Here is a 13437-nt window from a genome sequence, read left to right on the forward strand (position 1 = left end):
CACCCTGTGCTTTTCCCTCTGCATCACAGCTGCTCAAAACCTTGAGAGACAATGATTTAGTGCATGCTGACAATGTTATTAAAAGCAGAACTCCTCAAAATAAAATAAGAAGTATTGCTAGATATGCCTTTCCTTCACTTTCAGTAGACTGAACGCCTGACTCCTTGAGAATGACCAGCACAACATATTTTCATGGCAATCAACTTCATTCTGTGCCATCTTAGGACATTTCCACTGCCAACTTGTCCTGTGGTTGTTTTCATCAGGATTGGCCCACATGGAGTCCTAGGCATAGCCATGATATATCTCTTTTCCTCAAACCACAGCGAATTAGGCATATTTAGCCTGCAGATTTGTAAAATAGAACTGGTTACAGCTCTGCTAGTGTCCCAAGTGAGTATGACAATGCTACGGAGTGCAGAGCAGTGTCGGGTGGTTAAATCCTGACTCACACTACCAACCTCCCTGAGAGCATCAAATGAGACAAGCGACAGGATTCTCAGATGGAATTTGATGTTGGTCCTTTCCCCTCCTGATCCCCAAAGGGCCTGGTGGGCTCAACAATCTCTAGTAAATTCAGCATATTCAGGTCCAAAAGTATCCCTGAACAGGGATCTTCCTTAGCCTTGTCTATTCAAAAAGACCGGGAGTGGCTTTTTAAATACATGTGTGGATATGCAGTTCTTCCTAGTTGGCTTTTTCTGATTCTGTCCAAACACAATCACATCTCCCATGCTAGTATCTATCCAAATACTTTCTTTAAGGAGAATGTCCATATGTCAGCCACTATTCTAGGTGGGGGTTTCGATATTGACCAAGATGAAATTCCCTGTCCTATGTATCTTTCTAGTGGAGGTGGGGAACAAACCCACCATCTAGCAGCATAGCTGTGACAATCACTGAAGAAAACCACAGAGGCACTGTGGAGGTAGGGACTGCCTGGGGAGTGGGCGCTGCTTTGAGTTGGGGAGTCAGGAAAGGCAGCACTGAGAAAATGTTAGCTGAGCACAGACCTGAAGGTGGGGGGGAGGCAGGTCAGAGGGGGCTGGTTCCACTGGCCCCTCCATGTGCCCACCTTGGGCACCCCTCAGAGAGCTACAGCATGCCTGGTGCTTCCACACCCACTGAGGGGAGCACTGGCCAGGTGTGGGCACACGTGCAGACATGTGGGCAGATCCAGGAAAGGCAGCAAGATTATTAGCTGAGAATGAGGATGGAGAGGGAGGTATTTGAGGTTTGAGGACAGGACACAAGAAGATGATCCAGAAAAGCAGAACAATGGACAGAATAGCGGCACAGGGACCCACTGAGACGAAAGTGGGACCTGTGAGCACAGTGATGTGTGTTCCTTCAGCCGCACTCACCAGTGTAGGTGAAGATGTGGCGTGGGGAGAGAGCTGTGTTACGCAGGGTTGGGGTTTTGCCAGTGAGGATCATGAGGGAAGAGGGAGCAGCAAAGAACCTGAGGGTGGATGCAAAAGAATAATTATAACACAAGATCATGGAATCTAAGCTAGATAACTAGGAAAGGAGAACTGGAGGGGGTGACAGACAAGGAAAATTAGCAGGATCACTGGATGGTGAGTACTGGTGGGCCACAAATGGTTGGAGTTAAGGCACAGGGGATAGAAGACAGAAGGTGGTGATCAGAGGATGAAATGGTTGAGGAGAGAGTGGATTAGACACTTGCTACTTAAAGTATGGTCCCAGACCAGCAGTTTCTGCAGTATCTGGGGACTTGCTGAAAATGGCAGAATCTCAGACCCTACCTCAGATCTACTGAATCAGACTCTGCATTCTAATAAGACCCCCAGGTGATTCACACTAAATTTGGGGAAAAACAGCCTTAAACCACTGTCACATCTGCACCATGCTGGCTCAATTTGCAGGCAACCAGAAGCCACAGACACCCTATAAAAAAGGGTGAGTGAATAGCATTCTGAGGTTAGGAAATTCCCTGGGGCTCTGTTTCCCCTTCAAACAGCTCCACTTTAAGTCGCTCATTTTGGTTTCTTGGGTTTCTATCCAGCTGCCTCATGCTCTTGTTCTGCCAGGCCTTGCAGTCTTATGATATGGTTAGCAGGCTTAAAATTCAATTTCCCAAAGAACGCTGCCCCTCCAAATGCTGGTTAGCCTTCCCTCACTGTCTGTAGGCAAAGAGCATCTCCTTACTTCCTGCAACCAGGTACCTATCTCCACTCTCGTTTGCCAGAGAGAAGGCAACCAGATACTTAGTGTCCTCAATTCAGCCTGTGTAATTCCATGTGTCCATATAGATCTATTCCAAGACCCTAATGCAAAATGTATAGTATTGCCATTTGTGGCTTTTTAGAAGTTTAGCTTCCTGCTATATAATAGTCAGGGTTTTGTATCTTCTAGTATGAGTAGACTGACTTGCCTCTTTATAATTTTATAAAAAAGAGAAAACAGTTGTGTATGACATTAGCATGAAAGATGAGGTTGAGTCTAGTTAATGGAGGCTTTGCCTCCTTAAAAGCTTTATTCATAATAAAATGAGTGTGACATTTTCATGAACCCAGACACTACCTCCTGTACAAACACTTGCATGTGAAATAATTAAGAATCTCTAACTTCTTTAAAGACAAGTAATTTCAGATGCTGTCGTGTATGAGTTTTACTATGATTACTAATAATCAAGTACTATTTGCAGACACCATGCTATACATTCCATATATCCTCATCTTACTTAATGCTCACAAGGATTCATACTATTGTTACACTGATCCTACAGATGGGGAAACTGAGGCCTAGAAATGTGAAGTGACACAGCCAGTGAGTGGTGGAGCCAAGTTTCAAACCCAAGTGCACCTGATTCCACAGCAGCTCCTCACGCACACACACAAGATAACACACAGCTGAAGCCCAAGAGCGTGGCACACACAGCTCCCTCCGCTTTCCCGCATCTCTGAGCATACACATAGTCACTACTAAATATTATATGTGCCTACTTGAGTTGAGAAGGTGTAAACAAGGGTCTCTAATCTCACTGTTGGTAAATATCTGATACAGAGACCCTTGCTTAGATGTGACCATTTTCTAGATCTGTGATAATTCTTGTAGCTCTTGCTAAGTTACAATAATCAATGAAATGAGCCATCCTGACATCACTCTGCTAACCTGTGATACAGTTATAACAAACTGGCTTATCACTACAGGTACCTGAACACAATCTCTGTTGGTTGGTGACCTGGCCTCCGGGAACAGAACCTGTTCTGCTTTCAAGAGAAAATGCCAGCAATGACTTCTTATCTGATCCTTTCCCACACCAAGGCAGATCAAGTCCTTAGGTCAGTTCAGCAAATGCAAATGTGTACAGAAGAAACAGAATCAAATCCAAAGCTTCCCATGTGAATTATCACAAGGCTTTGGACATACCAGTTTCCTTCTTGGTATCACCTAACAGCCCATGATTCAGAGATAACAATGTCTAGCTCTGCCTCCTTTGCTTCCCAAGGATGATGTGAGGGTGACTAGATGGGCCTGAGGTCCTTGGGTAGGAGGAGCTGACGCTAATTTAATAAGCCTATGTACACACACAGTGCTGAGAAGCACAAAGTCAAGCCAAGGCACCTGCATATGGTAATTAGGGTTAGGCATTCAGGGCTGATAAAATATTTCTTTTTAAGTCAGTGAGGCCAAAACAAAGCAAACAACAACATTAAAAGTAGCCTCAGAAACTGACCTTCCCATTTCCAACCCCTATCTGCAAAACAGAAAGAGAAATCTCTTACTTTCATGTAAAAATTATAGGGCAACTTCTTTGGTTTCTCAGATTTTGAAAGGAAGACAAGCTGTAAGAAAATAAATATCCTAGGGCCCATGCTAAGTACATACTTTTTAAAAAATTTTAATGTGTTCTATATCTGGATGAACATTTATTACTCAATATTTATTACTGCCTCAATATTTATTACTGTCTCTATACATATTTCTCTGTCTTAGGTTGTCAAGTCTGATAAGGCAAAGACCAAATATACTTTTGTAAAGCATGGGAAGCTGTTATGCATAATTAGGCACTTAAAGAGTTTTTGATGAAGATGATTATGAAGAATGAGAATGGTTAATACCATGGTAGGCATGTTTCATGAAACCTTCCTGTCTTTTCTAAAATGTCAGCTGACTGCACGTTCATAGAATCGTAGAGTTAATGGAAGCTTGAGCTTAGAAATCGTGCAGAGCTTGCTAAACAGTGTGTGATCTGCAGACCAGCAGCATTGGCACCCCCCAGGAGCTCGTTAGAAAGGCAAACCCTGGGCCTCACTCCAGATCTACTGAGTCAGAATCTGCACATTTAACAGGATGTACATTAAAGTCTAAGAGGCACCAACTAGAGAACCATTAAGTTCAACTGCTTCATTTTACAGCTGAGAAAGTTTGGGACCCAGACAGCCTAAGTGATTTGTAAGCCCTTCCACATCCTGACCTGGGATTTGTTGCTCTCTATTCCAACCTTCTACAGCCTCTTCTACTTCAGGAGTACTCCTCCTTGCATTTCTCTTCTGTGGGCCTACAGGAACAAAACTGTAAATAAATAACAACCCACAGATTGCAGGGAACACTGCAATAATGGTAATATTTGTTTGCCTCAGTCTTTATTCTTTTCCTCACTCACATTTGAATACCAATTGTCACCCTCCTAACATATGGTGACTTTTATCGAAAAAACATTAATTTCTTCAGGTGTAAAGAGAATGGCTGTACTTTTGTCCACAACTAAGTTTTTTTTTCGCATTTAGAAATCTGAAAGGAATTTGTTGGATATAAAAGAAAAATGCTGTCTTGAAGAAGATATGCCTTAAAAACAGCAGAGATTAATCAAATCAATAATGCAAGATGTGGAGTAAAGGTTTGAAAATAATATGTAAATTTTGCTGAAAGCAAAATGTTTAGATTGGTTAGAGACAAGGACAGACTGACCTGTGTTCCATCATTTCCTAAATAAACCCTGGGAGAGACCACCCTATCAAAGAGAGCCAGAAGGGAACAGGCTTACTTAAAAGCACTCTCCTTTCCCTCAAGGCATGGTCTTCATAAGAGAACATCATCCCATCATTTGGGATCAAACCCACGTAAATGAAATAGATCAATAAAAATCCATAAACCCAAAAATATTATTTCCGACATGGCCATTGTTATAAATGTACACAGCAAATGTCTTGAGGTACAGAAGTAGGAAAATACACAGAAGGTGTCTGCTACTTTATCTCCTTCAGTGCCAGAGTTTCTGGGTTTGAAGTACTTAGTTGTATGTGACTTCATATACTTGTTTATTGAGGTTAAGTGGGCTTAAATTTTTAATCTGTTTAGTAAAATCAACTGCAAAAGTATTAAAACCTATTACTAAAGACATTTTGTAGACAAATATCTAAAAAGAATTGAGGTCAATCAATTTCATTGTAATTTGAAGGTTTTTCTTCTCTATCCCTTAGTTAAGTAGGAATAAGAACTAAGTCCTTCTTCACCAGGGCAAAATACCTTCCTAACATATTATAAGTCATGAACAGATGTACTTAGAAAATGAGAAGATTTGAGTTTAGCACACAGACTGAATCTGAAAAATCATCTAAGGTTGGAAACAAGTTCTCCAAAGAGACACATCTATGTTTCTTTGGAAAAGAGACACATTTTCTTTGGAGAAAACACACATTGACAAGGGTCTCAAATGCAGGCAATCCTTCATCCTTGCTTATTATTCCTTTATCCTTCCTTATTTTCCCTAAATTTCTTCTTAGTCTCCTGACTCCATACACTAAGGGACAGGCTATTTAGATGACACTGTAGGTACCGAATAAAAAGAGCAATTGACAAAAGAAAAATTGTCCAGTGCAGAGATGCTGCTACTTACTGGCTGTTTACACGATGAGGTAAATACTATTATTATTCCCATTTTACACATGAGGAAACTGAAGCATTCAGAGATAACTTATTTGCTCAAGCTTACACAATAGTATGACAGAGTGAGGCAGAAACTAAAAACGCACAATCTGGTTCCAGAGTACAGGCGCTTTATTCAATATTTATTTCATTTTTCACCCCTTCACCCACTTCCTTATCTTCCATCTTGCCTGCAAATGCTAGAGTTTCACCTACAGTGGAATTATAAGCTAAGAAGTCACTGATCTCCTGCTCTGGTGATATCCTTGCCAGGACTCAACCTTTGCAGGCCTCCCCTTCCAGTAACAATAACATAGATTAGCAACCAGAGGTCAGACAGAAAGAGTCTACAGATTCCATCCCAAGCAGCCTTTCCACTCCTTGATTTCCCCCCCTTACTTCCTATCAGCTCAAACACTAATTTCTGCATTGATATAGGAGCCAAACAAGTAGCCACTTCTTCAGGAATCACATGCCCAGCCTGGAAGGTCATCCCAACACCACTCACGCAAACAAGGCAGCCTCCAGTCATCTACTCCTCGACTGGAAAAAAACAAAAACAAAAACACTTCTGACTGTAATATAATTTGCAGGACTATTATCCTCAGACAATATTGAATTACTTAGGAGTTCAGCATCAAACATAATCATTTCACTTCTGGATGTCTACTCTGTAACGAGAATGTGCTAGGCATTACAAAGGCGATCAACAGGAATAACTTATTAACCCTTCCCTCATGGCAAATTCCCCTTCCGTGAAATTCTTTACTTCCATTTCCTACTTGGTCAACTATTTCAGACTGAGCATATGAGACTCAGGAGAGACACTCAGAGTTGGGCCCCTTAAGAGAAAGACCAATAGGGGTGGAGGGGCCTTGAATTGTAGAACTGAAAATACTTCAGTAGAAAGCCAGACACAGAAGAAATACTTATTATTATTATTATTATGCGTATCGCATGCCATGAAGCAAAATCAATTTATTTCATTTATTTATTTATTTTTTTGAGACAGGGTCTCGCTCTGTTGCTCAGGCTGGAGTACAGTGGCACGACCATGGCTCACTATAGCCTCAACCTCCCAGATTCAAGTGATTCTCCCACCTCAGCCTCCTGAGTAGCTGGGACTAAAGGCACATACCCCCATGCCCGGATAATTTTTAAAATTTTTTGTAGAGGTTGAGTTTTGCCATCTTGCCCAGGCTTGTCTCAAACTCCTGGGCTCAAGTGATCCTCCCATCAAGGCCTCCCAAAGTGCTGGGATTACAGGCATGAGCCACTGCACCTGGCACAAAATCAATTTATAAGCACCTCATTGAATCTCCGCAAAACTACTAGAAAGTCTTTACAAAGGAATGTTAAAGCAATTGTAATGACGAACACAGTGACTGCGCAATACTCATAATTTTCTAATTTAAGAAGTATTGAAGGAGATATATTCTAGTTCATGTATGCCTATTTCGTTTTAGTGACTAGCCTTCGTAGATGGACTAGTGATTTCAGCACCTTCAATTCTATGGGGGTCTTAAGTTTAACAACTGCAAATCCACTAATAATGGAGATTTTCAGAAATAGAACTTTAAGTAGTTTATAATCAGGAAGAATACAACCACCCAAATTATTAAGATAAAAGGTAAAACATAAAAGCCATGATTTGGTAGCTAGGTGGGTAGAGGCATTTCCTCTACTGTAAGAAAAACAACAGTGTTGCACAATAAAAACCAGCTGATGGTTGGTTGTGGTCTCTGGGTAAGTAGTGGTAAGGACTGAGGCAAACAACCTCATCTAAAGAGGCTGTAAGAGGCAGTCCCTAAACATCCTATATCTAACTCCTTTGAGAGAATTTGAGAATGTACACCCAGTGTTGGCAGATTTTCTTATTTTTCCTGAGAAGCTAGAAGCCTGGATTTTTACATATCTCACAATGTTTAAATATATACTGCTAATGTAAATTTAAAAAGAATAATCTACTGCCCAGCACTAAGTGAGCAAACAAAATATGCTTGAGGATCAGGTCTGAGGGCCATTTGGAATATGGCTTCTCCCAGGTGGGAGTAGGATGGGATTTTGATAGGAAAAGTCTTGAATTTCAGTCTCACAGCTATGACTCTGTGACCTAGGAAAAGTGCTTAAAACTTCTGAGGTGAGTGTCCTGCTGCGGAAAGATACTTGGATACTAATAGCCTATGCAGATAGGCCAAAGAGTATAGTCAGTAAGAAAGGATGCAGGCTTTGGGACCAGACTGTCCAGTCCAAATGTGGCCTCACTACTCATCAGGGCAAATCATTCCACCTCCCTGCGTCTCAGTGTTCTTCTTTACAATAATGCTGACCTCACACGGTGTTTAGGAGTTAACAAATATTATCTATTTTTTAACATATATGATTGATAAAACAGAATCCCTTGCCTTCCTTCCCAATCTCCAAACAAATTAAAAAAAAAAACAGACTTTAGAAGAGGCAACTTCGTACTAACATCTTTCTGAACTTGGACATGCAAAGTTCTTTATATATGATATAGCATTGTGTTTTCAAATTGATGTAGCTACAAGAAATTTTTAAAAGTTATTTTTTAAATTAAATTTTAAAATTTTAGATAGTTATAGATTCACAAGCAGTTACTTATAATAAAGAGGGATCTCATGTACCCACTGCTCAGTTTCCCTCACTGGTAACTTCTTGCAACACTATATTACAACATTACAACTAAGGTAAACACACTGATAGAAGGAAGATATAGAACATTTCCATCACCAAGTATTACTCATGTTGCCCTTCTGTAGCCCCACCCACTTCCCTCCTGTCCCTACCACATCCTTAACTCCTAGCAATCGTGAATCTCATCTCTATTTGTACGACTTTATCATTTAAAGAATGTTATATAAATGGAGTCATGTTACATGTAGCCATTTGGGATTGGGCTTATTCACACAGCATGGCTCTCTGGAGATGCACACTAGCTGCTGCATATATCAATAGCTCCTTTGTTTTATTGTGGAGTAGTATTCCACGATATGGATGTACCGGTTTGTTCAGCCACTCATCCATTAAAGGATATTTGGGTTATTTCCAGTTTTGACTATTACAAATAAGGTTGCTATAAGCATTAATACACAGGTTTTTGTGAGAATGTGACTTTATTTCTCTGGGATTAAATGCTGAGGAGTGATATTGCTGTATCTCAAAATCCTTGGCCGGGTATGGTGGCTCACGCCTGTAATCCCAGCACTTTGGGAGGCCGAGGCAGGCAGAACACCTGAGGTCAGGAGTTCAAGACCAGCCTGGCCAACACAGCGAAACCCCATCTCTACTAAAAATACAAAAATCAGCCAGGCATGGTGGCACACACCTGTAGTCCCAGCTACTCGGGAGGCTGAGGCATGAGAATTACTTGAACCTAGCAGGCAGAGGTTGCAGTGAGCCGAGACTGTGCCACTGTGCTCCAGCCTGGGCAACAGAGTGAGACTCTGTCTCAAAAAAAAAAAAAAAAAAAAAGAAAAGAAAAAAAAATCCTGAAATTAATTACCTCTGCAAAATCCCTTTTACTACATTAAAAAATAAAAAGAAAAAAGGAACCTGATTCCCTAGTTCTGGGAATCAAGACATGAACATCATTGGCGGGGGAGCCATTATTTGGCCTACTACACTCAACTCCTTGTATCTGTAGGTTTCAGTCTTCTGTTAAATGTGGCAAGTCTTCAGCTATGATTGCTCAAGTACTTTTCCAGCCCCTCCCTCTTCCTATGCTTCTTATGGGTCTCTAATGACACAAATGGTAAATGTCAAGTGTAGTTCCACAGGTCCTTGAGGCTCTCTATTCTATTTTCTCTCTAGTGTTGAGACAAAATAATTTTGATGGTTCTCTCTTTACTGATTCTTTCCCCTGTCCCCTGCATTCTGTTGTCCAGCCCATCCACTGAGATTTTTATTTGGGTTACTGTATTTTTCTGTTCTAAGATGCCCCCTAGGTTCTTCATTATATTTCTTATTTATTTCCTGAGGTTTCTATTTTTTCATTTGCATCCAGCATGTTTAGAATTCCTCAGTGATGCATTTTTATGATGGCTGTTTTAAAATCCTTAGCAGACAATTCTAACATCCCTGTCATTTTGGTGCTGGCCTCTGTTGACTGCTTTTTTTTTTCTTCATTCAGTGTGAGATCTTCCTGGTTTTTGGTATCACAAGTGATTTTTTTTTTCATTGAAACCTGGACATTTTGGGTATTATGTTATGAGACTTTGGATCTTACTTAAACTTTCTATTTTAGTTGCCTTCCTCTGTTACCACTCCCAGAAGGGAATGGGGAGACTGTGTTATTATTGCTGGTTCATCCTGATTACTGGGGTAGAATCAGGTTCCCTACTACACCTCCCCTGATACCTGAGGGGGATGCATTCTTACTGCTAGTTAGGAGTGGGAGTTTTGGCTCTCCATCGGGCCTCCAACAATACTTCCTGGCTGGGAGAAACAGTGTTTCTGGTTCCCACATGATGTCCACTAACACCACCCCAGTTGGAGAGGAAAAGGGCTCCTCATTACTGTTAGGAGTTGGGGAGGGTAGAAACCCAGGTTCCGCATATGGTTTCTACTTACATGGGGTTGAGGTGGAGGCTCTTGTTACTACGCAGCAGAAATAAAAGCCTTGGCTCCCTACTCAGTTTTCTGTGACACTACCCAGTGGCGAGGGCTGGGGTGCCTTGGGACACCCCAGCTCTCAATTTAGAGCTGGCAAGGGTGGAAGTTTAGGCTTCCCTATCAGCTTTTGCTGGTAGGGTGAGGCCACATTTTTTTTTCTGTGGGGCTTGGCTAGAGTACAACAGTTATTATCTAAAAGTTTTCCATTTTGCTAGGCTCTACCTTTTCTAGTCCTCTGGTTTCAGAAAACAGATTTTCATCTTTTACTTATTTGTTTTTGTATGTGCCTGTTGGTGTTTTCCACTTGCTGCCTTCTTCATCAGGAATATATGGGATCTCAGTCAGGTGTGGTGGCTTACACCTATGATCCCAGCACTTTGGGAGGCTGAGGCGGGTAGATCACTTGAGGTCAGGAGTTCAAGATCAGCCTGGCCAACATGGTGAAACCCCATCTCTACTGAAAATATAAAAATTAGCCAGGCGTGGTGGTGCATGCCTGTAATCCCAGCTACTTGGGAGGCCGAGGCAGGAGAATCACTTGAACCTGGGAGGTGGAGGTTGTAGTGAGCCAAGATGGCACCACTGCACTCCAGCATGGGCAACAGAGCGAGACTCCATCTTAGAAAAAAAAAAAAGGGAATATGTGAGCTCTGGGAAATACGACTCAAAAAGAAGAAAAGCCAGGTAACTCACTATTGTGTGTTGCTTGGGTTTTGAGGTCTATAGATATTCTGCCATCTTTCCTCTACCTTTCAGAGTCTTCTTACGTTTGTTTTATGAACAATGTCTAGGAATTTTAGTTGTACTTAGTGGGAAGAACAGGGAAAAGTATGTCTACTCCATGTTCCTGGAAATAGAACAAATTTTTCATTTCATTTTGAGGTTAAAAATTAGAAACCTCATTAAGTAAGGACATTGCATTTGCTATGCTGAAAAGGCTGCATCCAATAGTAGCAAAAGTTTACATAAAATCAATTTAAATACTTTCAAAATACTTTAAGAAAAACTTCAAAACCATGTATTTAACCCTTAAGAAAATCAATTTTAAAATAATATATTTTAAAGTTCTCAAAAGGTACCCAAATGATGTTAGTTAACTTTTTGTTTCAATATATTTCAAGAAAATGAAAGGAAGGGACTTTTTCTATGTGGGTGTCATTTTGCAATTATTACCCTTAATACGAGAGGTTTTTAGTTTTCTTCCTACTTTGGTAATTATTTGAAGGCTTCTTTCTTTCCTAAGCTGTCTATAAGAAGTGGCTACACAGGTCTTACGTAAGATTATATTTATATTATCTCAAAAATTTTCTTCCCAATGGCTTTTTATGGGATTTAAGAGAACTGGATGTACATTATGAGTGTCAGTCACGATATTAGAGCAGACAAGTGCCAAAAATTACATCTATTTTCCTTTAACCAACCCTTTATTATAAGCAAAATGTACAGAGTGGCAAAAACACAGTGAAAAGTAATGGAAATCTATGTGAAATACATTAAGATGAAGTCCGTTTTCTTTTTTTACAGTTCAACATGAAAGGTTACTGTTAAGAAATTTGAGAGAAAGTATCAGAGTCAAATAAGATACAATGAAGGGCAAGAAATGTATAAATACAAATACTCTTCAAATTGATGAACGCACTTTAAAACAATCTAGGAGTAGCTCTGAGTTAAGATGGTTGTTGGGCCTTTACTTGGAATAGTTCTTAGAAAAATCAGGGCTCTGATTTTATGCTCCATGTGCCAATTAGAAGCAAATGGCGATTCCTCCGGCTAGACTCTAAATTCATCACATTATTGCTTCATATAGCCATTTTCTCTTCCTTCGTTGAACAGAAGGAAACTGCATGGTACAGTAGTCAGTGAAATGTAAAATAAGGATTAACAAGCCATTCTGGAGATTTAGCAAAATGAAGCTTCATCAACCAGCTTGACTCACAGCCAATCCAGCAAAAAGCACCCTAGAAAGAAAACTAAACAGTGAAGTGACAAGTAGCACAAAAAATTAAATAACTCAGGCATTAAAATCATGAAAAGGTGCATTGTGTTCTGTGATCAACCAAGCCCATTCCTAGAATAACAAGAGTCCATCCTGTACTCAACATGCAAGTCCAAAACAGCCCACTGGCCTACCGTGAAATGTGCTTAGGAAAGAAAATAGTACATTACCCTACCTATGTCCACAGAAGTAAATTTACCAACAGAGAGGAATAGAGGAATATATAGGATTTTGTGAGGACTTATTTTCCCTTTATGTGAAAAGGACACATGACACATCCTTACACAGCTGAGGTATAGCACAGGCTACCATCTCCAGGTGCCTGAGACCTAAAAATAATGTTGAATAAATTTGAGTTTTGTTTGGTCAGAGTAAGTCTTTCATATGCAAAACTGAATCGTTAATACAGTCAGGTAAACCTAAGTACACTGTCAGTATTTGAAGTCTTTGAATGCTTAATGTTATAGCATGCATTTTGGTCAATTATGTTTTTTTGGTTTAGGATCTTTTTCATACACAATTCTAATTCTTCTAGCAAGTAGTTACGCTTTTAATCTGGCTTGTTTTTTTTTTTTTTTTTTTTTTTTTTTGAGACGGAGTCTCGCTCTGTCGCCCAGGCTGGAGTGCAGTGGCGCGATCTCGGCTCACTGCAAGCTCCGCCTCCCGGGTTCACGCCATTCTCCTGCCTCAGCCTCCCGAGTAGCTGGGACTACAGGCGCCCGCTACCACGCCCGGCTAATTTTTTGTATTTTTAGTAGAGACGGGGTTTCACCATGTTAGCCAGGATGGTCTCGATCTCCTGACCTCGTGATCCGCCCGCCTCGGCCTCCCAAAGTGCTGGGATTACAGGCGTGAGCCACCGCGCCCGGCCAATCTGGCTTGTTTTTACAGGCTATTTCATAATAGAATTTTGC

General features: G+C 40.7%; 1 protein-coding gene across 17 annotated transcripts in view; it reads right to left on the reverse strand.

Moving 5' to 3' along the window:
* PAG1 (phosphoprotein membrane anchor with glycosphingolipid microdomains 1) overlaps positions 1-13437 on the reverse strand; it is a 144259-nt gene that overhangs the window by 105077 nt on the left and 25745 nt on the right. For 11 of the 17 annotated variants that reach the window (XR_007060746.1, XM_047421989.1, XM_047421986.1 and 8 more), the window contains one exon: positions 4445-12068. The exons of 5 other annotated variants lie outside the window; for them this stretch is intronic. The gene's annotated coding sequence lies outside the window, so the exon portion shown is untranslated. The remainder of the gene's footprint in view (positions 1-4444; positions 12069-13437) is intronic. One more of the 17 variants, XM_047421990.1, reaches the window with a different exon arrangement.

This window comes from Homo sapiens, chromosome 8 (genome assembly GCF_000001405.40).
Source record: "Homo sapiens chromosome 8, GRCh38.p14 Primary Assembly".
In the NCBI taxonomy this organism is placed as follows: Eukaryota; Metazoa; Chordata; class Mammalia; order Primates; family Hominidae; genus Homo; species Homo sapiens.